Raw genomic sequence first — 27,551 nt, 5'->3', positions numbered from 1 at the left:
TACTGCACAGACATCATTTTAGGTCCAGTTTAAATAGTAGTAGTGTAGGCCAGGTGCGGTGGCTCACGCCTGTAATCCCAGCACTTTGGGAGGCTGAGGTGGGTGAATCACCTGAGGTCAGGAGTTCGAGACCAGCCTGGCCAACATGGTGAAACCCCGTCTCTACTGAAAATACAAAAATTAGCTGGGTGTGGTGGTGCGTGCCTGTAGTCCCAGCTACTCGGGAGGCTGAGGCAGGAGGATTGCTTGAATCCGGGAGGCGGAGGTTGCAGTGAGCTGAGATCACGCCATTCACTCCGCCTGGGCAGCAGAGTGAGACTCCATCTCAAAAAAATTAAATACATAAATAAATAAATAGTAGTAGTCATGAAATGAACACTTATGCCTTTACCATCTGTGAACATATGCATCTCAGATTAATGCATTATAGAGTTTTTCTTATTTCTGTACTTTATATAAATAAGATCAGATTCAAGGTATTCTTTTTGTTATTTTTCTTTTCTTTCTCTATTTTTTGATTTGGGATCGTTCTCTGTCACCCAGGCTGGAGTGCAGGGGCACAATCTTGGCTCACTGCAACCTGGAACTCCTGGGCTCAAGTGATCCTCCCGTCTCAGCCTCTCGAGTAGCTAGGACTATGGCCATGTGCCACTACACCCTCTAAGTTTTCTTTTTCTTTTTTTTTTTTCTGTAGAGATGGAGTCTTGGTATGTTGGCCAGGCTGGTCTCAAATTCCTGGGCTCAAGTGATCCTCCCGCCTCAGCCTCCCGGATTGCTGAGACTGCAGGCCTCTTTCGGGTGGTCATTCTGGCTGGCTGCAGGTATTCTTTTTAAATTCTGTGTTCTCCTCACTGTTGCTCAAAATTATGATTTTTGACACATGCGTCCATTGAATGAATGTTAGATTCCATTGAATGACTGTACAGTTTAAAAAATAGTTGAGTTTACTTTTGAGGGTTCTTTGGACCATGGCCAGTGTTTTGTGTTTTGGACCGTGCTGTACAGACACTCTCTGTCCTTTCGTGCCCGTGTGCAGCGTTTTCACTGTGGTTACGCCCGACAGCAGATGTGCTTCCTCTCAGGACAGGTATGTATTTCCTGTTGCTTCCCATTCTCCTCTTGACTTTCTTTTGCATTTCAGGCTAAGCAGCTTTTCACGTCTTTGCAATTTGAGTTTCCTCATTTGTAAATGCCCCTCTGAGTCTTTTGCTCATTTTCCTATTATATTGTTTATCTTTTCCTTATTAGATTAGCGGGGTTCTTTCTGTATTTTGAATACAAATTCTGTGTTGCTCATTATTGTTGAAATATTGTCAGCTTGTGACTTGTCTTTTCCCTCTTTATGACGTCTTTTTTTACTTTTATTTTTTATTTATTCTTATTATTTTTTATTTTTTAGTAGAGATGAGGTTTCGCCATGTTGGCCAGGATGATCTTGAACTCCTGGCCTGAAGTGATCCCTTTGCTTTGGTTTCCCAAAGTGCTGGGATTACAGGCATGAGCCGTAGCACCCGGCCTTTATGGTGTCTTTTGATAACAGAAGTTCATAAATGTAACGCGGTCAGGCTGGTCGATCTTGTCCTTAGGGTTGGTGCTTTTTGGTTTTGTGCTTGAGGATCCTCCCCCAGCTGTGGTCCCAAGCACCCCCTCACCCAGAGCAGGCAGTGACTTGGATGTTTGGGTAGCGAGCTCTGGGTCAAGTTCCTGGCCCACACCTGCCAGGAACACTCAGCTCTGACTTGCCGTGGAGCCCCCTGTGCCTACTTTGCTGTCCACCCTGGGTGGGTGTGCCCCTGATGCACTGCTGTCAGCTTCCCCTTTGGATCTGGAATTTTATTTTTCTGTCTAACGTGCTTGTCCCCGGTTGGACTGGCCTGTATTCCTTGGGCAACCCAGCAGGTGGCTTGGCCTTTGGACAATTAGCTCCTCTGCTCCCCTGAGGAAGGGAAGGAAAGCCCCAGCGAGTGGTGGAGTTGGCTTCCGAGACACTTTCCAGTGACAGGTCTCTCCGGAGCTGGGGTCTCAGGGCAGGGCCTGCAGGGAAACGTGGACTCACTGGGGAGGAAGTATAGCTTGGCTCTGGGTTTGACGACAATGACGATGGTGACGATGATGATGACGACGATGCTATTTTGTTGTTGTTTTGGGGTTCACAGGAGCTGAGAGGAAGAGCAAGGGTTTGCAAATGAGGAAGAAAGCTGGGAAGTGGTTTCATGCATTTCCTCCTCTCTCCACGTGCCAGAAGGTGCCACTCGGAGGCTGTCTTCCCAGCCTCTTGAGGACAGGCAGAAGTCCTTGTGGCCTCAGTTAAAGGAAAGAAGAGAGAAAGAAAAGAATGAAAGCAAGAAAAGGGGCCAGGAGGGAGTGTGAGCTGCAATCCCAGCATCCTGACATGTGCCCTCATGCCTGGTCACATGCAGGCACGTTGCACGCCCGCTGGGCACAGGCCGCTTGTGTACCTTGGTCACTTATATTCTTAACAGCCATCCAGGACCCCGTCGAGTGCATAATACAGCCGTGTACTAATATAGCCATCCTTAGCAGCCGTCCGTGCACTAATACAGCCGTGCGGGTGGGCTGCCGTGCGCTAACCTAGCCGTCCTTTTGATGTTGGGCATGGGGTCATTTCCAGGGTCAGGTTAGATGTTCTAGACAGACCCAGCAGTGGGTAGCTTTAACTAGTACTTTAGTCCTTCCTTTCCATTATTTCCTTAAGCTACATTCTCATAAATGAAATTTCTGGGTAAATGATGAATATTTTTATGGTTTTAAAAAGACAGCATCAAATTTCTTTTCAAGGACAGGTGCTAATTTGGAAAATCCCAAATACATGTATCTATTAGAGATGGCATCCTGCTATATTGCCCAGGCTGGTCTTCAACTCCCGGCTTCAAGCAGTCCTCTTGCTTTGGCCTCCCCAAGTGCTGGAACTACAGGCGTGAGCCACAGTGCCTGACCCCTCGTAATTTTTAAAGATAGAGTGGGGCAGGAAAAGCTCACCAGAATGTCTCTCCAGCCCGTGAAGGGCTCCAGTCTTGGTGTCTGGAAGGCTCTAATCAGCAGCTCTGTTTTTACGGGGCCAGGCTGGAGCAGACAGGAAGGCTTTATGCTATCTGACTGATAAGGTTGTCTGGGGACTGTTTCCACACCACCGGTTTCTGTGCTTGTTGCTGTGGGCTTGGGTCTGGGGACCTGGGACCTGGCACGGAGCTATGGGGGCTCTGACTGTCTCAGACCCTGCCTCTGCCATCTTAGAGCTCACACTTTAGGTAGGGGGGAATGAAGCAACCGGTGCTCTCTAAGCAGAGTCGGGAAGCCTCATGTACCCAGGGCCTTGCTTTGGCCTCTCAGGGGTCGCAGGCAAGACTGGCTTGGTCAGGCCCAGAGGGTGCCCTGGGAAGGTGGGCCTCTCAGTTCAGGCTGGAAGCCCAGCTAGGGTGGTCAGGCCCTGAGGGCTGGAGGTGTAGGTAGAAAGGTGCCCTCAGGGAAACAACAGAAACGCCCAGTCCAGTGGCAATAAAGCCCCAAGGACAGGCAGGCAGTGCAGGGCACCCCCAGGCCGCCAGCCCAGAACCTTTCCCACTGGGGTCTGGGCCTTTCCATGGGCAGACAGAGCCCCACGGGCCAGGGCTGAGGGATCCATTGTCCCCACACTAGCAGGGCCCCTGACCCACTCGCATCCAGCAAGCGCGGCTGACCTTTCTCTGGGTGCTTGGCCGGAATCCAAGCCCATTCTTCCGAGCACCTCAGAGGGGGGTCAGGGCCTCAGCAGGGACCTGATCAGGACCTGAGGGTGGACAGTTTCACTTTCCCTCAGATACAGGGTGGGAGGCTATTTGGGGACAGGAGCCCAAAAGGGCCTGTCTGCTCACTCAGACCAAAAGTGGGATAAAACCAAAACCACTTCCTGGGAGGACAGCGTCTAGGGTGTCAGAGCCCGACACCGCTGCCCTCCACGCCTGCCTCCGCTGAAGTGGGTTCTGGGGGCTCCGAAGGTCAGCAGGGTTCCGGACGCTTTCCTGGGACTGCCCCTCCCAGCTGTGCAGGCTCAGAGGCTCCTCCACCCACTCCAGCATCCACAACAACAACAAAAATAAAAATAGCTCACACAGGACTTTCCCCATCCCAGCTCTGTGGTAGATGCCACTCTCATTACTCCCATTTTACAGATGAGGAAACTGAAGCACAGAGAGGTCAAGAAACCTGCTCCAGGTCACACAGCCAGTGAGCAGTGGAACCGGGGCTCAGAGGGAGGCAGTCTGACTCCAGAGCCAGAATGTACAGGCTTTTCATGTTGTGAGACGACAAATACATACACACGCGCCCACCAGAAGAAACCTACAGGCTGGGGCTGGGGGCAGAGTGGGGCTCCAAAGCCAGCAGACCTGGGACTGCATCCTAGCACTGCTGATCCCCAGACAGGTGACTTTGGTCGATTATCTTTTACATTTAGAGACAGGATCTCACACTGTTGCCCAGGCTGGAGTGCAGTGGTTGCAATCATAGCTCACTGCAGCCTTGACCTCCTGGGCTCAAGCGATCCTCCCACCTCAGCCCCCCAAGTAGGTAGGACTACAGTTGCATACCACGCCTGGCTAGGTTTTTAAACTTTTTGTAGAGATAGAGTCTCACTGTGTTGTTCAGGCTTGTCTTGAACTCCTGGGCTCAAGCGATCCTCCCACTTCAGCCTCCCAAAACACTGGGACTACAGGTGTGAGCATCTCGCCCAGCTCATTATTTCTGTTCACTTGTTACTTCATCTGTGAAACAGGAGAATAAACCCTACGGGAGCTGTGAGAATGAAAGGAGATCAGTCACATTCACAAACATGGGTGGCACTGTGGCCTCTCCAGCCATGGTAGATAGGCAGGAAGTGTGAGTTCCCATCCCCAGTCCTCCTCCTTCCCAGATAACCTCAGAAAGTCCCATAATTGTCCTGGGTGCAGGGATAGCATTTGGAAAAACTGATGGTTCTATTCATCCTGCTACAGGAGCCTCTTGGAAGATGCAAATGGATGAAACAACAGAAAACTGTGCTGCAAAAGGCCGATGCTCTGTGTATGGCCTCTCAAAAGATGTGAAACTAGGGGGAAAAACAATACCGTTCTTACCCTTTTCCTGGGCACCGCAGAGCCCTGTGATTCTGCTCACACCTGCAATCACCACCGCCTGATGTTCCGCTCTCAGATGCCCCAGGGACTATCCAGCCTGCAAGCCCAGGGCCTGTGTCCTGAGTCAGTAATCAGCTTCCCCTCTGGATTCACCTCTGAATTCCAAAATGGGTTGTCTGGGAACTTCATCAACTTCATGACTTCCATGTTCAATGGGAAAGTCAGCCTGCCTGGCCAAAGCAACAGTGAAATATGGGTTAACGTTACAACAATGTAATGCTGATTTAGATGTCAGTTTAATAGATGATGGGTGGTATTAGAAAGCACCTTCAGCCGGGCACGGTGGCTCGCGCCTGTAATCCCAGCACTTTGGGAGGCCGAGGCGGGCAGATTGCCTGAGGTCAGGAGTTCAAGACCATCCTGGCTAATATGGTGAAACTCTGTCTCTACTAAAAATACAAAAATTAGCCGGGCGTGGTGGCTGGTGCCTGTAGTCCCAGGTACTTGGGAGGCTGAGGCAGGAGAATTACTGGAACCCAGGAGGCAGAGGTTGCAGGGAGCTGAGATCACGCCACTGCACTCCAGCCTGGGCAAGAGGGCAAGACTGTCTCCAAGAAAAGCAAAAGAAAAAGGAAAAAAAAAAAAGAAAAGAAAGCGCCTTCAAGGCCATCTGTTTCTCTGCTACTACCCTTTTTGGAAAGACAAATCTCCTTCCCCTCCCTGTCCTCCTTCCTTCTACATTCCCCTAGGGCTGTGTACCTCTCTCTCAGCGTGCCCTGCCTTGGTGCCTCTGTGGCAGGGCCAGGTCTGACTTCCCAGATGAGCTTGCTCTCCTAAGCTGCATCATTGCATGACTCTCCTCTTTCCTAACCTCCCTCACTCCTCCAGCTCCCTTCTGCTGGTGAATGACATCTCTTCACGCCACACAGTCACAGGACGGCTGCTCCACCACCGGCATCACATCTCCTTTCCAGGCAGGAAGAAGAGGAAGGAGGAAGAGACAGGACAAAGGTGGTCTTTCTTCCAGTAAAGCTTTGACTTTTTATCTAGAAAACATTATCTCTGAGCTTTTCACCTACATTTCCTTGGCCAGACCTGGGTCACGTGGTCACCTCTAATTGAGAAGATGAGTATTTCAGAGGGACACATTTTTGTTCCCTCCCAAATCAGGGCTGTGTTAGGAAGAAAGCGGGAATGGGTCCTGGGAAGGCAGCTCGCAGTAACTCCACACAGTCTGTCCCTTTGCTATCCAGCACTCACGCAGCCCTTCCCTCAGACACAGAAAACATCAGTGTCTCCCAAGGCAAACAGCCAGAATCCCATCTTGCTACTTCCAGGGCAGGCTTCTTTGTAAGGTGCAGGTGGGGCGCCCTGTGGTCCTGTGACCTTGAAACTCAAAGACAAGTTATCTGCCCCGACATACTCAGGATCAGTGGTTGGTTAGAAACAGGAAAAGTGCAGTACAGCTTCCATCCAGCAACACGGAAAGGGATGCACACAGCAGTCGCTGGAGCAGGAAGTCCTGCTGAGTGAGGACGCCTGGCTTCCTGGGTACCATCTAGCACCCTGCTCTGCTCTCAGGAAGATGTGCCAGAGCCATTGCCTTCTGCAGACTCAGCTCTGCCCTATTCTCCTTATTCATTATTCTCCATGGGGTGGGTCTTGAGGGGATACGCCATTTCTGGGGGCCACACGGCTTCCTGTTGGTGTGAGTCTGGAGTCCTGGGGGTGGCTTCAAGTATTGGCTGTTACTCACCAACCTTGCATTCTTTTGGAGAATACATTTACTCAAAAACTTGGTTGGCTTCCAGTCTTCTAATTTTATTTATTTATTTTTGTGGTCAGTTCCGATAGCGGCCTCTATTTGGTGGTTGGAGGTCAACTTGTGACCCCTGCTGCCCTCTGGAGTCTCATTTTCAAATGATGTCTCCTGAGGTTGAATCTGATTGGTGGAGTGAGGTCACATGCCTGTGCCCTGGCTGCAAAGGAGGCTGGGAGGGAAGTTTTCTCTGTTCTACTTCAGGGACATGGGACTCTCAAGATGGGAAATGCCCCCAAACAGAGCCAGTATATTCTACAGATATGAGGCAGCCAGAAAACAGGAGGGGAACCGGGCGTGGTGGCTCATGCCTCTAATCCCAGCACTTTGGGAGGCTGAGGTGCGCAGATCACTTGAGCCCAGGAGTTTGGGACCAGCCTGGGCAACATGGTGAAACCCTGTGCCTACAAGAAATACAAAAAATTAGCCAGTCGCGGTAGTCTGCATCTGTATTGGGAGGCTGAGGTGGGAGGATCCATTGAGCATGCTATTTCCACCTCCTCACCTCTCCTTTCTGCAGTCCACCCCATTTGCCCTTTTTCCTCCTACTCCTTTAGCCACTCTTTGTGTCTTCTCAACTTGCTCCTCCTATTCCTCCTCCCTCTCTTAGATCTGAGGGATCCTGCGCCACCTCGGTGATTTCCTCTATAAATTGATGGCCTCATTTCTAGCTCCAGGTCAGAGCTCTGAGTTCCTAAGGCTCTTAGCTCACCTGACATTTGTGTTTGGTTTTTCCACAGCCATCTCAAACTTCATCTGTTCAATGCAGAACTCCTGATTTCCCTTTTTAATCTGCCTAACCGCTCTCAACCAGTGTACCCCATTTTCACAACAGCTACAACTATTTTCGGGCCAACAGTATATGAGTAATTCTTGATTCTCCTTCTTTCCTTCTCAGCCCATGTATTATACAATCCAGCAGCAAGCAACGTTGGGTTCTATCTTCTCATGTACCCCAATTCTCCCCATATCTTCCTGTTTCTGCTATCAGCAGTGTCATCCAAGTAGCCGTCAGTTTTCACCTGGATTGCTCCAGAGGCCTCCTAATGGTCTCGCTGCTTCCACTTTTGTTCCTTCTAGTTCTATCATTTCAGTCCTTTCTTCATTTTCCTCACAGCACGTGAACACTTGTTTGATTTGTAATGAATTATAGAAATGATCCCTGAAAGTAGAGAGTATAGTCTTACACTTGTTTAATTTGCAATCATGTTATTTGTCTGTTTCCTTATCTGCTCCCCACCTTCAATACCAGGCCCATGAGGACAGGGACCATCCCTGTGTTAGTCACTGACTAGTAGTGGGAAAAGTAGATACTCTATAAAGAAGTATTTGAAGCCAGGAGTGGTGGCTCATGCCTGTAATCCCAGCAACTTGGGAGGCTGAGGTGAGAGGGTTGCTTGAACCCAGATGTTTGAGGCTGCACTAAGCTATGATTGCACCACTGCACTCCAGCCTGATAACAAAGCAAGACCCTGTTTCTTTTCATAAAAGAGAGGCCGGGTGTGGTGGCTCATGCCTGTAATCGCAGCACTTTGGGAGGCTGAGGCAGACGGATTGCCTGAGCTCAGGAGTTCACGACCAGCCTGGGCAACACGGTGAAACCCCGTCTCTACTAAGATACAAAAAATTAGCCAGGCATGGCAGTGTGCACCTGTAGTCCCAGCTACTCGGGAAGCTGAGGCATGAGAGTTGCTTGAACCCGGGAGGCGGAGGTTGCAGTGAGCCAAGATCGTGCCAGTGCACTCCAGCCTGGGCGACAGAATGAGACTCCATCTCAAAAAAAAAAAAAGAAAAAAAAAATGTTTGATTTGACTATCTCTCAAATGTAGCTCAGCATCTGGTACTTCAAAAATTTTTGAGTCTTCTGGCCTGAACACCTGAGGAAACATTGCCTGTAGGGTATGTTTTTGTGGGGCAGAGATCATTTTGCAAACCCCATGGCCCATTCAGCTCTCAAGCTGCGTTTAAAATGAATCAATCTGATCTTAAACCTACTAATAACCAGAAGTGCCGTGCAGCCAACTAGCTCACCCCCAGGGTGGGTCCAGGCCCTGATCACTGCCAGCGATGAACTGATGCTCTTGTGGCCATCCACACACTTGCTCCCCAGAGGCCTCAGGCTTCCCGGCCGCCCAGCCTGTTGACATGTGCCGTGATAATTCTCCAAAGCCTCAGGTGAAGTGTGTGGGGAGCAGATCTCCCAAGCAGGTCAAAGGTGGCTTGATTTAGGATGTGTTGTCCTTTCCTTTTTGGGTACAAGCTGGAACCCGTGTGCAAGATGGTTTTGTTCAGGCTTGTCAAGTTATAGGAATGATCCTGTGCACCTCACATCTCTAGTTTATAGCTTCAGAGCCTGTGAGAGAGGAATGGGAACCCTTCACACATCGTAACTATGAGTAGCATATCTTAGGCACCAGCTACATGCCAGCCCCCAGCTAGGTCTTTATTGACATCATCTTCAGTCCTCACGTGGCTCTGCAAGTGAATGGGTCTGTGCAGCTCAAGACTGAGAAAGCCTGCAGCCGAGCCCCCTGCCCCTGCCTGCACCCTTTCCAACTCCTCCAGAGCTGGAGCTGTGAAGGCGGCCTTTGCCAGGTTCCCCTGCAGGTGAGGTTACATCTTGGGGGTTCCTAGGTTTTTTTCTTGTTGCAGGGGTGGAGACTTGGCAGCCTGGGAATGTAGGGCCATGGAGTAGGCAGGTGGGGGCCTGGCCTGGGTCCCACCTTGGCTGAGTGATCTGGCCAGAGCTGGTGTGGGGGGTGTAGCTTGGCCTCCCACAAGCCTCCCTCAGGGGGTCTGGGCCAGGCCCAGCATTTGGATTGACAGACTCAGCCCACCCAGGAAAGCATAGACTCTTAGAGGGAGAGGGATCTTGGAGGGCTTCTCAGCACTTGCCAGCATTTACCACTCACTGTGTCTGCAAGGGACACTCACTCCACTTCTGATAGAGGTATTGCACCACTATACCAATTATTGTTCTTGTAGCTATTATTATTATTCTGCTAATTATTTTCATATTGAGGTGGGAGAGTATGGCTCATTTATTTTTGTACCCACAATGACACAATGCCTGGGAGGCAGGAGTATGGAGCAGATGGATGAATAAGTGAATGGGTGGATGGATAAGTGGATAGGTGGTTGGATAGTTGGATGGATAAGTGGGTAGATGGGTGGATGATTGGGTGGATGGGTGGATGGTTGAGTGAATAGGTGGTTGGGTGGATGGGAGGGTGAATAGGTGGTTGGGTAGACAGCTGGATGAGTGAATAGGTGGGTAGAGGGGTGGATAGGTGAGTGGAGGGGTGGATGGTTGGATGGACAGATGGGTGGATGGGTGAATGGATGCATGAGTACATGGATAGATGGGTGGATAGGTGCATGGGTGGATGACATAAGGGTGTATTGATTGGTAGATATGTGGATGGGTGTGTGAGTGGATAGGTGGTTGAGTGGATGGATGGATAGGTGGGTGGATGGGTAGATGGGTGGATAGATGAGTACTTGGGTGTATGGGTGTGTGGGTTGATAGGTGGGTGGATTGGTGAATGGTGGGGTGGACAGGTGGTTGGGTGGGTAGGTAGATAAGTGGATAGATGGGTAGATGGGTGGATGGGTGTGTGAGTAGATAGATGGCTGGGTGGATGGATAGATGTGTGAGTGGATGGGTAGATGGGTAGGTGGATGGGTGATTGGGTGTGTGAGTATATGGATGTGGATGGGTGGATGGGTGTGGGGGTAGATAGATGGTTGGGTGGATGGGTAGATAGGTGGATAGGCAGATGAGTGGGTGAAAGGGTAGATGGTGGATAGATAAATGGATGAGTGGATGGGTAAATTAATGTATGTGTACATGGGTAGATGGATAGATGGGTGGGTGGGCGGGCAGATGGGTGAGGAGGTTGAGGGCGGGGGGGATTTGCCTCCACTTGCCCAGTCAGCTATCACAGAGGTACAGCACTCCAGTCCTTCTCACCCTCAGCTCCCCGTCTTTCTCCTTGTCTTTGACCATGCCTGTTGGTCTCTCCTCTCACACTGGGGGCATATAATGTGGCTGGGCTTTGGGATCAGGCTGAGTGTCCATTCTGCCCCTCAGCAGTGATGGGGCCATGGGGTGGTGCCAGTCACCAGCAGCAGCAGGGCCTGTGGTAAGAAAGAAGCAGGCGCACTGGCTGGGGCCACTCCTGCAGCTCCCCACACGGAGCCCTAGGCCTCTGGTTCCTTGTGCCTTTGGGGTAGCACTGCCGATACAACTTTCTGTGATGGTGGAAGGTTCTGGGTCTGTGCCATGCAATATGGGAACCATTAGCCCTGGGTGGCCATGGAACACTTGAAGTGTGGCTCATGTGGCAGAGGAGCTGACTTCCAAAATATACTTAATTTTAATTAGTTTAAATATATATTTCGATAGTGGCAGATAAGTAGTGGCTACCATTTTGGGCAGCACAGCTCTGGTGGGCTGGGCTAACTCTTGTTTGTAAAATCGCCTCATCCAAGGGAGGTTCCTGGGAAAGGGAGCCCCCTGACTCCTAAACCTGAGAACCCAAAATAGAGCTATGGAGGGTAGTCTTTCAGCAGGGGTGTTGGAGACACAGCTGTTGGGGGCTCAGGCACCCTGTGCTGTCAGCAGGGGCAGGAGCATCTGGTGGCTGGACACACTGCAGAGAGGTTGCTGGTCCCCTGCCCCATGTCCGTTCACTGTCTCCCAGACCTCCTGACTCTGAGCTGGGCCTCTTGGAATGAAGACCACAGGTCTCAGCCTCCCTTGCCTCTGGGTGTGGCCAGGTGACCTCTTTCATGAGACAAGGATGAAAGCAGAAATGCTGGGAGGCAGTGACTGGGAAATATCCGGAAGGAGACCCCTCTGGGCATGGCCTCTGCCTATCTCCCCTTTCCTCCATCCTGCTGCTTGGAGCAGAGGTGAGGACCAGAGTGCACCTTTAGCCATGAGGACCAGGAGACAGCCTGGGCTATGGGCAAGAAAGCTGGAGGGAGCCTCAGCTTCATGTTCAAGCCCAACCAGCTCATTGCCCTGGAGGGGAGCCCTGGCGAGCCGAGGTTTACCAGGCCTGGCTCTCTTCTGTCCTCTCCTGCGCTCCGCAGGGTCCTGGGCTTTCTTTCTAGCACGTGGTCCTGGCAGGTGCTGAGGGGCACGGCCCAGCTTCTCAGACAGCATCCGCCTCCCCTGCTTCCTTTCCAGCCTCTCCTCTGGCTGGGACAGACTATCTCTCTCCAGGTGGGACACTGGCTTGGTGTACAGGTCCTCCTATCCTGTTGTTTATGGTCTAAACTTTATCCTTGGAGCCTTTTGGAACCAAAAACCAAAACATAAAACCAAAAACCCAAAAACGTTGATCTGTTATAAAGCCTGGCTCTTGCAGTTTTAGGCCTCGGCTCTTAATGTAGTTTCACTTCCCAGCGTCTCCGTAGCCATCAGTGGAAGTCGAAAATGTACAAGTGTGTGCCCTGTTCCCGACTGTGCGGCCCCACCCTGGGGACAGCGAGTCTGAAATAACCCCTACCTGAATGGCCTAAGTGATGGGGCAGCATAAAGTACCAAAAAATCCCCCAAACCAGAAACAAAGCATTTTGTCAATATGTTAAAGTATTATATTATTCTGACACAAAGAGAAATAGCTCCCTGTGAGCTGACAACAAATGCTGAATTCCGAAATGGGGTCTCTCTGTTAATGGGGTAGACGCTTCTTGGACTGAAAGGTATTTGGATCCCATGGGGGGTGGGTGAGGAAGCGCAGAGTGGAGGGGTGGGGTAGGGTGAGCTTGTCTGAAAGGGTGTAGCCCCTTTAAAGTCTTTCGGGGCCCACCCCTCAAAACAGATGCCAGCCGGAGTCAAGCCCACCCCTAACCCCCCGCCACACACACACACGCGCACACACACGCACTGCCTACTGCTGCTCTTGGCTGGTTTCGTATTTCCACTCCATGCCTCTCAACTCCGGCAAGAATAACATTTCCATTTGTACCTTGTTAGGCCCTGGAGACCACAGGGTTCTAAGGAAAACGAGAGCACACATGTTTCCTCGCTGACTCACATGAGGGTCGACGGGTTTCAGCCATAAAGGTCCACTGTGCCCCAGCAGAAGCTGGGTGCGTGGCAGCCAGCCCCAGGAGCCCCCCGGGGGTCTGCAGGTTGCAGGGGGTGATGTATTTTTTTTTTCCTAGAACAGTGGGTGAGCAGGGGGCTGGAGCTGGCAGACTGTGACACATGTGTGTGTGAGGTCTTCAAAGCCTGCTTAGGTCCCCAGGCTCTTCCCCAATACAGGGTGGCCCCTCCCTCCCACCTCAGGGCCAGGGGCCTCAGGGTCATGTCTGCCCTATCAGTGGCGTCTGCTCTTAGAAACACCTGAACACGGACAGTGAAATCCTCAGGGTTGTTGCATTTAGATTGGGATTTGAATCTCCATATTTAGGAATGAAAGGTGGAATGTGAGGCATCGGCCAGGGGGTGGGCAGCTCTGTTTCTGTGGCCTTTCCTTTTCAGTACTCTCGAAATTACTCATCGTCCGTGTTTCAGGCCCTGACCACAGGGCTCAGATCAAGTATATGCAAAGGACCCTGGGTAGGCCTCCCTCCGAGAGCCATGAGCTAGTAGAGACCAACCTAGAAACCTCTCCCCACCCAAAGAGCCAGGGCAGAGTCTTGCAGTTCAGCCCCACTGTGCCCTGCCTGCCTGTGGGACTAGGGGGACCTCCAGCCCCTCTTTGGGGAGTCAGCTCTTTCTTCTGTGAGGTGAAGCGGGTCACCACATAGCCATGAACACAATAGCCAGATCTTAGGTTCTGCACCCCAGTCCCACCCCAAGGGACCAGGGCTCTCTGGGAGACTGGCTGGTTCCGGGTCTGGGCAGGAACGGTTTGAGGTAAGCCCGGACATCCTATGCCAGAAAGCAAGAAGTGCCCAGAGATTTCCGGGACAATTGGAACTTCAAAAAGTGTGGTGCCTGTCAGTGAGCATAAAGCATAGTGTGTTCAGTCCATGGACCCACTGTGATAAAACAGGAAAAGACAAAGCAAAGAAAGAGAAGGCGAGAGGAAAGCCCGTCCGTCCCCACTGGAGGGGAGCTTTGCAGGAGAAGCACCTGTTCCTCCCAGGGAATCTTCTTTATGGAAGAACGTCCGCTAATGGAGAAGGAAGGAGAGAAGTAGAAAATCGCTGCTCGACACCCTCAGTGAATAGCTGGTTCAGACCAGGCCAGTCTCTGGGGCTACTCCCGTGCAGTGGAAGGTCACGGAGGACTGGGGTGTTCACCGGGCACTGAAGCACCACCCCGAGATAACCTGCTGATTGCAAAGTGGAAAAGCCCTTTAGGGAAAAGATCTGGGGCTCCTGGGCTGGGCCCCTCCCTCGCCCCTGCTCCCACTGGGCCAGAGCCTCCCTGGCAGGCAGTGGCTCAACGTCCTTTTTTGGAAGGGGCAAGGGTTCCAGTCCCAGTCTTTTGGGCTCCTTCTGGACGTCCTCAGGAATGCAAGGTAGAGAGTCTGATCACCCCTAAGTCCTGAGAGACAGGAGCAGGCCACATCTTTGGGAGTAGATTCCTGAGAGCCGCCTTCCTCTGAGCATGGCCCTGGGAGTCTAACTCTGTCCTCTGCACAGTGGCTTGGGACAGGTTTTCCTCTGGACCTCTCAGAACCCTCACCTGGAAAATCTGGCATGCACAGATCAACAGCCCTGCCAACTCTGCAGTTTATGAAATAACCACACTTCAGAAATGTCACTATTGTTCCTTGCCTTTCTTTGGCTAAGTGAGGTCTGAGATAACGCAGACACTGTGCAGCAGCTGGTGACTCTGCAATTCTGCGCTGCCCACAGAGGATGTCCTGAAGCCAAGGTCCCCAAGTCCTGGTGTTAAAGCAAGTCAGAACAACACTATGCTACGAAACCATTCACACATGCACATACATGCACCTGCATACAAGACACATGCAACACATGCATGCAACACACACACAAGTGCACACAACACAGACACCCACACACACACACGCAAGGTGTCGAGTGTATGTGTGCTAATCATGGCAGAACAGGAAAGGCCCTGCCCACACTGTTAGGGTGGTGAGGCAGGAGCAGAGTGCGGGGTGTGCGCGTGGCTTGGTCTGTCCTCGTAAACCTGGCGGAACAGGAAGGGCCCTGCCCACACTGTTAGGGTGGTGGGGCAGGAGCAGAGTGCGGGGTGTGCGCATGGCTTGGTCTTTCCTCGTAGTTACTTGTGGACTTAGAAGGCAGATCTGTTAGTTGGCTGTGTGTGCGTGTGGAAGGGGAAGCGGCCCCCGGAACACAGGCTTATGAAGAAGGTGCTGCATGTGCCTGGATGTTAGATGTCCCTCCCTGCTCAGTCCCCATCACATCCATGTGGTCTACCTCAGTCCCACCGTGTTGCCTGCCACACCCACCCGTGCAAAAGCACAACCTGTGATGTCATGTTCTTGGTTTTGGAGGATGTCCACTCCTCTGAGCTACCTGACCCCAGCTCCTCTCAGAGGCAGGCTGGCTTGTTATTGTTAGCCCATTTCACAGAGGAGAAAATCAAGGCTTGGAGAGCCTTGGGGAATTGTCCACCGTTGCACAGCAAGGAGCGACTTCTCCTGAACCCTCGTTCTTTCCACACCCCACCCAGGCTCCGGTTGCCCTTCTCCTGGCCATACCTCTGCTTGGCTTCCTGATCACATTTTCTCATGTCCACAACCTTCAGTGCCTCCTATTGGCCTAGAGTGAAACGCGAGTCCTTGCTTAGCAGTTCTGTGAGCCCTTTCCATTGTCCCAGCTCCTCTCTCTCTGGATGCCTTCCTGAGTGCACTGCCTGGTGCCAGCTCCCCACTCCTCAAATACGTGGGAATTGGTCTCTGCTCATACAATCCTCTCCCATAGTCACTGTTCAGGAGATATTGGTTGTAGAGGTTCAGAGGAATGGGAGTGGCGGAGACCTCGTCCTGGAAGCGGAGGGTGGGGGGATGAGGTGTCCTTGATGGGGGAACAAAAGGCATGAAGGGGTGTACCTGTGTGCATGTGAGATGCAAGACTGCCGGGGGCTGCTAGAAAAGAGAGGGCAGGGGACATCTGGTGATGCCAGCAGAAACCCACAGAGTTCTGCCTGGGCAGCAGGTAGGAGCTGAGCTCATCTTCACAGGGATGGAGGGACCTCGGGGGCTTGTGACACCCTGTAGACCCTCTTGAAGCTGTGCCTGGGTCTCCACTGCAGGGGCTGTTTCTGGGTGTGGACATCATGTTCCCAACTGAAGACGATTTTTATCAGCTTGGGAATGATGAGATTGTAATAATGACAGTACCTAATGTTTAATGAGTGCTTACTGTTTCCTTGGCACTGACTGAGTGCTTTACGTGTATTTTCTGGTTTATCTTAACTGGGTACAACCGTGCACCGCATAATGATGTTTTGGTCAATGACGGACTGCATACACAATTGTGTCCCATAAGATTAAAATACCATATTTTTACCGTGCCCTTCCTATGTTCAGATATGTTTAGATACACACCTGCTTCCCAGCATGTTATAGTCGCCTATGGTACTCAGTACAGTAACATGCTGTGCAGGTTTGTAGCCCAGGAGCAGCAGGCTGTCCCATATGGTCGGCTGTACCACCTAGGCTTGTGTAAGAACGCACGAGGATGTTCACACAATGACAAAATTGCCTAACAACGCATCCTTTCTCAGAACGTATGCCCATCACTGACAGATATGTGGCTGAACTATTATTTTACCCTCTCAGGTGCCTCTCCGGACTCACACATCTTTTCTCTCTGGGCGCCCATGGGAGTTACCCACCGGAAGTGCAGGGGGGCGCCGTGGCTTGTCCGGCTTGCCGCCCAAGGTAGGGCTTCCCCTTGTCTGGTCTGTGGCTTTCACTTTAGTGCAGCCTCTGAAGTGAGTCTAGGGGTCAGGAGGGGGCATGACTTGTAAACAGTCCCATGTAAGAGCTGAGAGCCACTGCTGAATGAACAGGATCTTCCTCAGTCAGTGGTCAGAGCTATGTTCAAGACACATGTTTCAAAGCAATTACAAGCCTGTTAAAGAAAGGGATGGAAAGAAATGAATAGACACTTCACCAAAGCAGATATACAGACACATAACAGGCATGTGAAAAGGTGCTTCCCATTATTAATCACTAGGGTAATGCAAATCAAATCCATGATAAGGTGCCACCATGCATCTATTGAAATAGCTGAAATTGGCCGGGTGCGGTGGTTCATGCCTGTAATCCCAGCACTTTGGGAGGCCGAGGCAGGTGGATCACATGAGGTCAGGAGTTCGAGACCAGCCTGACCAACATGGTGAAACCCCATCTCTACCAAAAATACAAAATTAGCCGGGCATGTTGGCACATGCCTGTAATCCCAGCTACTTTGGAGGCGGAGGCAGTAGGACTGCTTGAACCCGGGAGATGGAGGTTGCAGTGAGCCAAGATCATGCCATTGCACTCCAGCCTGGGCAATGGCTGGAGTGAATTGCCCACTCCAACTAAAAAAGTGTTGGAGTGAACACTTTTTTAGTGAAAATGTGAAACTCCAACTAAGAAAAAATAATAATAAAATAAATAAAAGCTAAAATTGAAAAGACCGACAACACTAAGTGCTGGAGAGGAACTACCTTACATTGCGGTGGGACGTAAAATGGTACGAGCATTTAGAAAACAGTCTGGCTGTTTCTTTTCACAAAGTTGAACTATACCTACCATATAACCAGCAATCCCTCTCCTAGGTATTTATCCAAGAGAAATGAGAACATGTGTCTACATAAAACCTTGTACATGAATGTTGATAGCAGCGCTATTCATAACAGTTGAAAAATAAAAACAACCCAACTGTCCATCAACTAGTGAATCGATAAGCAGACTGTGGAACATCCATGCCATGGAATATTACTGAGCAATACAGGGAATGAATGCCTGATTTATTCAACAGCATAGATTAAACTCAAGTCACAGAAGCCAGACCCAAAAGCCTACATATATGATTTCAATTATATGACAACCTGGAAAAAGCAAAGCTGTAGGGATGGACAAGAGATCAGTAGTTGCCAGGTCTTGGGGTGAGGGATGGATATTGACCAAAAGGGACATGGGGAAACCTTTTGAGGTGGTGGGAGTATTCTTTAGCTTGATGGTGGTGCTTACATGAAAGTGTACATTTGTCAAAATTCATCACATTGCATACCCCAAAAGGGTGAATTTAACTGCATACAAAATATAGCAATAAATTTGGTTAAAAAATAATTCAGCCCAAAGGGATGCACCTCACCCCTTGATCACACCTTAGGCCATGCCTTCCGATAGCCATCTTTGGCACAAATATCCTGGACAGCGGGAGGCTGCAGGTGAGAGCCGGGAAGGAAATGATTGCCCCACGGAGAAGCCTGGTTTAAAGGCTGTGACACGGGGCCTAGCTCCACCTGCCTGGCTCTCCAGGAAATGGCTTTGTCTGCTGGATTTGCTTAAAGGGGCCTTAGGCAGTACCGTCTCTGAGGAGGGATCCTGCTGGGACCTTTCAAGGCCAGGTTCCAGGAGCATCAAGCCTGCAGAAGGGCTTTCAGCCCCAGCCCTGCAGGCCATTCCTGGCTCCTGGCCGGCTCTGGACCACCTGGCAGGAACTTCCTGGGGCCAGGCCACGCCTGAGCTGCAGCCCCTCGTGGTTCCAGCCACGGCCACCTGGGGGACTGCAGTTGCTCAGCAGTGGAGCCGCCCCTCCCGCCTCATGGCTTATATGGAGCTGAGCGTCAGGGAATTAGGAACATACGGCTGAGAGTGGCCCTGACAGACAGGAGGTGTCAGAGGCACCTGGCAGCTGTGCCCCGGCCAGACCCAGGTCCTCAGACCCTGGGGTCCTCTCAAGCATCCGGGGCCTGGCAAAGGAGCATGGGACTGGGGTGCAGGAGGGTCAGAGGTCAGGAGTGGAAACGTGGGTGACAGGGAGACTTTTTCAAGAGCAGATGGAGACTCTTTCATGTATAGAAGAGTTGCTGCTGGCCAACCAGGGAGGCATGGGCAGAGGCTGACCCGCTGCTTTCTCACACAGCCCCCCATGGCTGGCCTGGCCCTGAAGGGGCCTGTGGGGCTGGCCAGAGCCTTTTCCCAGGTGACAATGACCAAGTTTGGGGTTTCTGGAATTCTGGAATGTGAATGGTCACTCCCTATGTCAGCTGCAGGTGTGGGGGGTCTGTGGTCCTCATGTCACTTGGACTCATGTCGCTGAGTCTCCGTGTCCTTATTGTTCCCCTCATGAGGGTGGGGGCTAGGCGAGGTGGGAGAGGAGCTGGCAGGCCTGGCGCATGGTGCAGGTGAGGAACCACGGCCCCCTCGCTTCTTGCTGTGGAGGGGGTGGTCCGGTCAGCCAGGTCCCAGAAGCTGTGACCTCATCCCCTCACCCCGCCTCAAGGGGAGTTTGAGGAGAAGGTGCTTGGATGAGAGAGGTGGGGTGCCCAGCTCTGCTCTCAGACCCTGCTCCCCGGGACAGTGGACCTCACAAGTCCCTCCACAAGAGGGGCAGTGGTTAGGTGACAGTGACATGCCCAGTGCAGGGGAAAGGCCAGAGTGGACGCATCTCCTCGAACAGGCGACAGTGAGCACGTGGCGGTCCCTTTCCTCCTGCTCCACTCCGCAGACAGCTACAGAGGGTGTGAGCAAAGGTGCTCCCCTCGAGTGTGGAGTGGAGGCCTGTGGGGGAAGGGAAGGTTCCTGGTGGGGAAGGATGGGAGGAAGGGAAAAGGGGGCCAGAGAGGGCTGCAGCAGAGCAGGCCTTGCCCCTGGGCCGAGCAGGGACAGCCAAGCACGCATGCTCCGTGGAGACCTGGCCCACGTCTAACTGCGGAGTCAGCTGTTTCTTTGAACCAGCCTTCAGGTAGGAACATTTCAGTCATCGGATGCCGTGAAGCAGTTCTGGTGGCCTCTCTGGGCTGGAGCTAGGCCTCAGGAAAGAGCCCAGGTCAGCATCTCTGAGCTCTGCGAGGTCCTGTGCCACCGGCCCTATAGGCCACACCCTCTCCAGTCCCCACAGTGCCACTCAGAGTGCACCAGGCTTGTCCCTTGGGCCAGGATCTGACATGGCCACCGATGGTGGGGAATGGGCAGGACTCCAGCCAGGCCTCCAGAGCCCACGGACCACTTGGCGTCCCTGACCAGACTGCTCCCCATGTGAGGATGGAGGTAGCTTTTCCTGGGGTGCCTTGGTGGAGACTGGCAGATGTGTTGGCTTCGGAAGCAGAACTGCACTATGCTGCAGTGAGCACCTGAGCCCCTGCCTTGCCTAGGAGGAGAGGCCCACCTCACGCCTAGATCTGTAGATGCATAGGCTACGTCTATTCCTGTCGCAGGGTGGCCACAGATGAGGAACCTGAGGGCAGAGGGGAGGCCAGAGGGGTCAGTGACTCACTCAAGGTAAGACCCAGGACTCCAGCCCCCTGCGAGCCCTGAAGTCCGGTGTTAGTCCCTACAGCGAAGCAGATACCTAAGGCATCCGCTCCAACCCACGGTCTCCAGGGCCGCATACACGCTTCAACGGCTGGTGTATTTTCACTCCTGCAACGATCTTTTAAAAATTAAATATTTTTGAGTTGGCAATAGTTGTATATTAGTACAAAATTTAAAATGAACCAAAAAGCATCTGGTAAAAATCTCCTTTCCTGCTCCTGCGTCTAGTGACTCTTTCCTGGAGAAAACCAGTGGGGCCATTTTCTTGAGTATCTTTCGGGAGATATTTTTGCTTAGTCAGGCAAATACATTTATAGACTCCTTTTACCACTTTTAACCTGAATGGCAGCATACTATACATAATGATTTGTTCCTTTCTTTTCTTTTGGCTTAACATGTTATAGAGCTCATTCCTTATGCATATAGAGCTACCTCTTTTGTGTTAATGGTGGCATGGTATTTCATCATCGGAGTCAATACTGCTGTTTGCACAACTCTAGGCAGTACCTTTCACATGGTATTCAATGAGGCCCTGGATAGATGCACTATATTTAACCAGCTCTCTATTAAAAAAATTTTACTGTGGTAAAATACACACAGCATAAAATTTACCATATCGTATTAGTCCATTTTCGCATTGCTATAAAGAAGTACCTGAGACTGGGTTACTTATAAAGAAAAGAGGTTTAATTGGCTCCTGGTTCTGCAGGCTGTACAGGAAGCATGGCTGGGGAGACCTCAGGAAACTTACAATCATCGCAGCAGGTAAAGAGGAAGGAGGTACGTCTTACGTGGCTGGAGCAGGAGGAAGAGAGTGAAGGGGGAGGTGTCACACACTTTTAAACAACCAGGTCTTGTGAGAACTCACTGTCACAAGAACAGCAAGGGGGGAATCCACCCCCGTGATCCAGTCACCTTCCACCAGGTCCCTCCTCAAACACTGGGGATTACAATTTGACATGAGATTTGGGCGGGGACACAAGTCCAAACCATATCACATATCAACCCTTTTTAGGTGTGCAGTTCAGTGATATTAAGTACATTCCCACTGTTGTGCAACCATCACCACTATTCATCCACAGAACTCTCATCCTATGAAATCAAAACTCTGTGCGCATTAAATACTAACTCCCCATGCCGCTCTTCCCTTGCCCAGCCCCTCCACAGAACTCTCATCCTATGAAATCAAAACTCTGTACGCATTAAATACTAACTCCCCATGCCGCTCTTCCCTTGCCCAGCCCCTCCACAGAACTCTCATCCTATAAAATCAAAACTCTGTACGCATTAAATACTAACTCCCCATGCCGCTCTTCCCTTGCCCAGCCCCTCCACAGAACTCTCATCCTATGAAATCAAAACTCTGTGCGCATTAAATACTAACTCCCCATGCCGCTCTTCCCTTGCCCAGCCCCTCCACAGAACTCTCATCCTATGAAATCAAAACTCTGTGCACATTAAATACTAACTCCCCATGCCGCTCTTCCCTTGCCCAGCCCCTCCACAGAACTCTCATCCTATAAAATCAAAACTCTGTACGCATTAAATACTAACTCCCCATGCCGCTCTTCCCTTGCCCAGCCCCTCCACAGAACTCTCATCCTATAAAATCAAAACTCTGTGCACATTAAATACTAACTCCCCATACCGCTCTTCCCTTGCCCAGCCCCTGGCAACCACTGTTCCTTCTGTCTCTATGATTTTGACTCCTCCAGTTATCTCATCCAAGTGGAATCACACAGTCCTTTCTTATTTCACTCGGCATTATGTCTTCAAGGTTCATGCCTCCTGCAATGTGTCTCAGACTTTTGTTCCTTTTGAAGGCTGAGTAATATTCATTGTCTGTATTTACCATGTTCTTTATCCATTCATTCATCCATGCATGCTCAGCTTGCTTCCACATTTTAGCTGTTGTGAATAACATTTCTATGAACATTGGTGTACAAATTTCTCTTTGAGATGCTGCTTTCCGTTCTTTCGGCTACAGACCCAGAAGTGAAACTGTTAGATCATATTGTAATTCAATTTTTAACTTTCTGAGGAACTGCTGTACTATTTTCCACACAGCGGCAACATCTTACATTCCCAGCATCACAAGAATTCCAATTTCTTCACATCCTTGCCAACACTTGCTATTGTCTGTTTTTTTTTTTAAATAGTAGCCCTCATAATGGGTAAGCAGTGGTATCTCGTAGTTTTGATTTGCATTTCCCTAATGATTAGTGAGTTAAACATCTTTTCCTGTGTTTGTTGGCCATCTTCTTTGGGGAAACATCTATTCAATCCTTTGCCCATTTTCAAATTGGGTTTTGTTGTTTGTTGTTGTTGTTGAGTTTCAGGAGTTCTCCATATATCCTGGATATTAATCCCATATCAGATATATTATTTACAAAATTTTCTTCCATTCTGTGACTTGTCTCTTTACTCCAACCAGTTCCCTATGAATGGACATTTAGCTTGTATGCTAGTCAGCTCCGGCTGCTGTTAACAGATATCACCAACTGGGGTGCTTAAACAACAGACATTGATTTTCTCACAGTTCTGGAGGCTGGAAGTCCAAGATCAAGGTGCCATCAGAGCTGTTTCCTGGTGAGAGCTCTCTTCCTGGCTCATAGGTGGCTGCCTTCTTGCTGTAGCCTCAAAGGCAGAGAGGGAACACTCTGGTGTCTCTCCCTATTTTTTTTTTTTTTTTTGAAACAGAGTCTGGCTCTGTCACCAGGCTGGAGTACAGTGGTGCGATCTTGGCTCACTGCGACCTCTGCCTCCCAGGTTCAAGCGATTCTCCTGCCTCAGCCTCCCAAGTAGCTGGGATTACAGGCATGTGCCACCACACCCAGCTAATTTTTGTTAGTAGAGATGGGGTTTCACCATGTTGGCCAGGATGGTCTCGATCTCTTGACCTTGTGATCTGCCCACCTAGGCCTCCCAAAGTGCTGGGATTACAGGTGCAAGCCACTGCACCCAGCATCTCTCCCTGTTTTTAAGAGGAAACCAGCCCTAGAGAATCAGGGCCACCTCCTTCTGATCTCATCTAACCCTGATTGCCTCCTAATAGCCCTATCTGCAAATACTGTCACACTGCAGGATTCAGGCTTCAACATATGGATTTAGAGAGGACACAATTCAGTGCATAGCAACTTGTTGCCATATTTGGCTATTGTCAAATAAAAACAATACGGAGGGCTGGGCGACCTGCACATTCAGTCCCTTAGAACCAGAAGCTTGAGCAGCCCAGAGGCCAGTGCAGACCCTGCTTGCCTGGCGCTTTGCTGTGACCTCTGCTTGACAATGCTTGCTGCCTTGGAGCTGACGGGCTCTCGTCCAGCTCAGCTGGGGCACAAAACCGTGTAGCTTTGTCTAATTAAGAGCCACAGATGAAGTGCACCTTGGATGTGTTTCTTATTATTTCGGATGAAAGGTTGGCCTCTCTAGAAATCACCCCCAAGATTACTGTGCCTCAAACCTCGCTTGTTCCAGCCGATAGGGAAATGACGTTTTAACGATCATGTTAAATGAAACTGTAAGCTTGACCTTATTAGCTGCCTCTTCTTAATTAGCTGCTTATGCAAGCATTCTTTCCCCCCTGTAGATACAAATCAACAATTTCCAAGCCATCTTTGAACCAACCCACTCTTCTGTCCCCTTGCCAATTCCCTAGCTCCAGGGTTAATAAACTTCACATATGCTCAAGAGCAATTGCGTTAAGAAATGTTGCTTCCACGTAATTACTAGCAAAGTGCAGCATCAGCAGCCATTCATCCCTCACACATGTGCAAATTTACTGCAGGGTACATTCCTAGGAGTGTGTGTCATGGAGGACGGCTTGGCAGCTAGCATTCTGTGTGCTCTCCTCGCTGTTCCTTCAAAGGCTGGAAGGTGAGCCACTGCTTTTCCCGCTTCCCTTGCCGCTAGAGTTCTAAATGTGAAATGGGTTATGCCCGGTGGTCAATGTTTAACAACCAGCTCTCAAAAAAAAACAAAAAAACAACACAAAACAAAAGCAACCCGGCTGTTAGTGCTTGCTGATTTCCATGGTGTAAATATATCCACTGTGGTCAATTTCAATCTTGCTATCCCCTGGTGTCCCTGGACCTGGAATTGGAATTGCCGTGCACCGTTGGCTGTCACTAGGCTGAGCCAGCTCCAGCACATCCATAGTCCTGCCAATTCTTCGCACACCACTATGATTCAGAGGCCAAGACTCTCCTCCTGCTGCTTTTGGCCGTTTCTGCTGGCGAGCAAAGTTGTGGTGGTTGTTTTTCCTGTGGCAGCGTTCCAGGGTCCATTCAGTCCCTTTGTGGGGTCAAGAGGCAGGTATGGTACAGCACTGGGAGCCTCCCGACCCCCACCTGGCTGAGTGGAGTCAGGCTAGCAGAGCCCAGCCGGCTGGTCCCCAGGCCTTTTTCCGGGCACCACGCCAATAGGCCTGGCCCATGCCTCTCAATAAAACGGTAAGCCCCTAATTTCCTGTCTAAACCCCTTTTTGCTTAAAATTGTTAGAGTGGTTTCTGTTTCCTGTAACTAAACCCTGGCTGATGTAAAGTGGAACCTGAAACTGCATTTTTTTTTTTTTAAAGCAGATGTACGTTTTCCTTAGGCTTGTCTCCTAATCTGTCTGTGCAGAAGGATTTTAATGCGTTGTGAGGCCTGGGAGGACAATAATGAGTAAATTGGCACTCATTAAGCTTTGTAAATCTGAGAACTCTGGAGACAAAGCATCTGAGTGAGCTGAGAAGGGTGAGACCCACTTCTAGGGTCTGTGAGGCCCTGTCCTCTTAGCACTCCTTCTGCCAGGCCCCGGCAAGGCTGTCTGTGTTCACCAGGCAGAGGCTAGGCTGTAGGATGCTGGCGTTAGTTAGGGAGAAACTGGATTTTCTTAGATCCACAGAATCAGACACAAGTCATGAGACTATGTCATTTAGTTTGCAACTCCAAATGCTTTTGAGGCTGAGTTAACTGTGGGACGTCTCTTTGGATTTACTCTCAGGCAGGGCTCCTCCCTGGGGAGCAAACTACTCCTGAGGTGAGATGGGGGAGAACAGATGTGTACCAGTGATCCCAGCAGCCTAGGGAGGAGGCCCGACTTGCAGAGGCATTCTTTCAGCTCATTAAAGAGCACCCTCTTTGATAAAGGCAATTACCTCTTGGGAAAGAAGCCTGTTAGCAGCCCTCAGAACCTGGGTGTGAATGAATTTCCAGGTTCTTTCCAAGCTGAGAGCAGGTAGGTACTGCGAGGATGAGGCACAGCCTGGGTAAGTCTGGCAGCCGGAACTGTGGGGAGTAGACCCACCCACGGTCACTAATAAGAGGGGCTAGTCGGGACTGTGCCCTGAGAAGTGGGAGCTGAGCCCTGCAGAACCAGCTTCTAGGCTCTGTCCCCTCCTGCTGGCCCTTGGATAAGCCTCTCTGGGCCCCCTGCTTTCTCATCTGTCAAATGGGGATTATATTACCTAGCCTCATAATGTTCTCCTGCGGTGGGTAAAATGGAATCTTCAAAGCGCTAGGGAAATAGAAAGTGAGGGCGGGGTAGTGGGAGCTGTGGGCCTGGGTTCAGGCAGCGAGGTGACACACTGTCACTGAAGTCACAATAATAAAATCTACTAAGTCAGACGACTGGTGTTTTTGTTGCTGTTGTTTGTTTTTCTAATTACCAGGCATGATTAAATACTCCTGCCAGGGAAAATATTTTGTTGATCTAAATTCTAAACAATTGTGAGGGTTTATGTATATATATATATACTTCAAATCAACATGATTTTATTTATTATCCTTTGATAAGCTTTGTATTCCAAGTGAAAGTTAATTTCAGAACTCCCAGGTATAAAGTCGGTCCAGAAATGTGCTTTTCAAAAGTAAGTTGTGAGCCGTCTGAAGCCACTTTGGACATCATTCACGTCTCCAGTGCCCCAGGGTGCTGTGAATTCCTACATTTAAACAGCAGATTTGACGAAGCAACAATAGCACAGTGATCGGAAAGAGGAAGATTCGGAACTTAAGTTACTTCAATTCTGTATTCTGTGTGACCATTGAAGTCTTGTTTGTGTTTAACATTTAAAACAGTATAAGAGGCCAGGAGCGGTGGCTCATGCCTGCCGGTAATCCCAGCACTTTGGAAGGCCGAAGTGGGCGGATCACAAGGTCAGGAGTTCAAGACCAGCCAGACCAACATGGTGAAACCCTGTCTCTACTAAAAATACAAAAAATTAGCTGGGCGTGGTGGCAGCCGCCTGTAATCCCAGCTACTCGGGAGTCTGAGGCAGGAGAATCCCTTGAACTCAGGAGGCAGAGGTTGCAGTGAGCCGAGATCGCGCCACTGCACTCCAGCCTGGGTGACAGTGTGAGACTCAGTCTCAAAAACAAACTAACAACCCCAAAAAACAGTACAAGAGCACAAACTGCAAGGTGAGGGGACATTTTAGTTCATATATGAAATATTTTACTACATTGGAATGATATATTTAAAATTGGAAACATGTTCTTTTTAAATTATTAATTTAAAACTAAGGAACAAATCAAGAAAATTAAATATTAGAGAAAATATAGTAGTTGCCCAAGTTTTATCTTTTGCAGATGTTTTGTCTCATTTACTGAAATATAATTGATATACCATAAAATTCACTGTTTTAAAGTATACAATTCAGTGTTTGCTTTTTCTTTTTCCTTTAACCGTACTCACAAGGTTGTACAGCTTTCACTGCTATCTAATTCTAGAATATCTTTGTCACCTGAAAAATAAACCCCATACCACGAGCAGTCACTCTTCACTTCCCTCAGCCCTGGGCAGCCACTAGTCTATGTCTTCATGGATTTGCCTATTCTCAGAATTTAATAGAAGTGAAATCATATAATAGGTGACTTCTGCATTTGGTTTCTTTCCCTTAGCGTAATGTTTTCAAGGTTCTTCCATATTGTAGCATGTCAGAATTCCCTTCCTTTTGCTTTCCTTCCTGAATCATATTCCCTTGTATGGCTATACCAGATTTTCTTCTCCATTCGTCAGCTGCTAGGCATTTGGGTTATTGTCACCTTTTGGCCATTGTGAATCATGCTCCCATGAAGATTCATGTAGAAGATTTTGTGTGAATGGAGGTTTTCATTTTTCCTGGGCATAGACCTACGAGTGGAATTGCTGGTCATGTGGAAACTATGTTTAACGTTTTGAACAACCGCCAAGGGATTCGTCCT

General features: G+C 50.1%; 1 long non-coding RNA gene across 1 annotated transcript in view, besides 7 other annotated features; it reads left to right on the top strand.

Moving 5' to 3' along the window:
• The first annotated feature begins 701 nt into the window (after nucleotides 1–701).
• Nucleotides 702–27,551, top strand: part of LRRK1-AS1 (LRRK1 antisense RNA 1) — a 109,606-nt gene continuing 82,756 nt past the window's right edge. The window contains exon 1 of the long non-coding RNA XR_001751724.2: nucleotides 702–821. This is a non-coding gene — a long non-coding RNA (LRRK1 antisense RNA 1). The remainder of the gene's footprint in view (nucleotides 822–27,551) is intronic.
• Nucleotides 13,617–13,736: an enhancer, noted in NCBI's record as "active region_10187". NCBI's record gives its function as "activates an Ori minimal core promoter by ATAC-STARR-seq in GM12878 lymphoblastoid cells {active_cell/tissue: GM12878}" and the evidence as "EXISTENCE:reporter gene assay evidence [ECO:0000049][PMID:35858748]".
• Nucleotides 16,641–16,690: an enhancer, noted in NCBI's record as "active region_10186". NCBI's record gives its function as "activates an Ori minimal core promoter by ATAC-STARR-seq in GM12878 lymphoblastoid cells {active_cell/tissue: GM12878}" and the evidence as "EXISTENCE:reporter gene assay evidence [ECO:0000049][PMID:35858748]".
• Nucleotides 21,095–21,294: a silencer, noted in NCBI's record as "fragment chr15:101671452-101671651 (GRCh37/hg19 assembly coordinates)". NCBI's record gives its function as "represses an EF-1alpha promoter that drives an FKBP-Casp9 reporter gene in an ReSE screen in K562 erythroleukemia cells {active_cell/tissue: K562}" and the evidence as "EXISTENCE:reporter gene assay evidence [ECO:0000049][PMID:32094911]".
• Nucleotides 24,516–24,685: an enhancer, noted in NCBI's record as "active region_10185". NCBI's record gives its function as "activates an Ori minimal core promoter by ATAC-STARR-seq in GM12878 lymphoblastoid cells {active_cell/tissue: GM12878}" and the evidence as "EXISTENCE:reporter gene assay evidence [ECO:0000049][PMID:35858748]".
• Nucleotides 24,896–25,005: an enhancer, noted in NCBI's record as "active region_10184". NCBI's record gives its function as "activates an Ori minimal core promoter by ATAC-STARR-seq in GM12878 lymphoblastoid cells {active_cell/tissue: GM12878}" and the evidence as "EXISTENCE:reporter gene assay evidence [ECO:0000049][PMID:35858748]".
• Nucleotides 25,296–25,345: an enhancer, noted in NCBI's record as "active region_10183". NCBI's record gives its function as "activates an Ori minimal core promoter by ATAC-STARR-seq in GM12878 lymphoblastoid cells {active_cell/tissue: GM12878}" and the evidence as "EXISTENCE:reporter gene assay evidence [ECO:0000049][PMID:35858748]".
• Nucleotides 25,636–25,685: a silencer, noted in NCBI's record as "silent region_6884". NCBI's record gives its function as "represses an Ori minimal core promoter by ATAC-STARR-seq in GM12878 lymphoblastoid cells {active_cell/tissue: GM12878}" and the evidence as "EXISTENCE:reporter gene assay evidence [ECO:0000049][PMID:35858748]".

Source organism: Homo sapiens, chromosome 15 (assembly GCF_000001405.40).
Source record: "Homo sapiens chromosome 15, GRCh38.p14 Primary Assembly".
Classification (NCBI taxonomy): Eukaryota; Metazoa; Chordata; class Mammalia; order Primates; family Hominidae; genus Homo; species Homo sapiens.
This window is presented reverse-complemented; position numbering and strand designations above follow the sequence as displayed.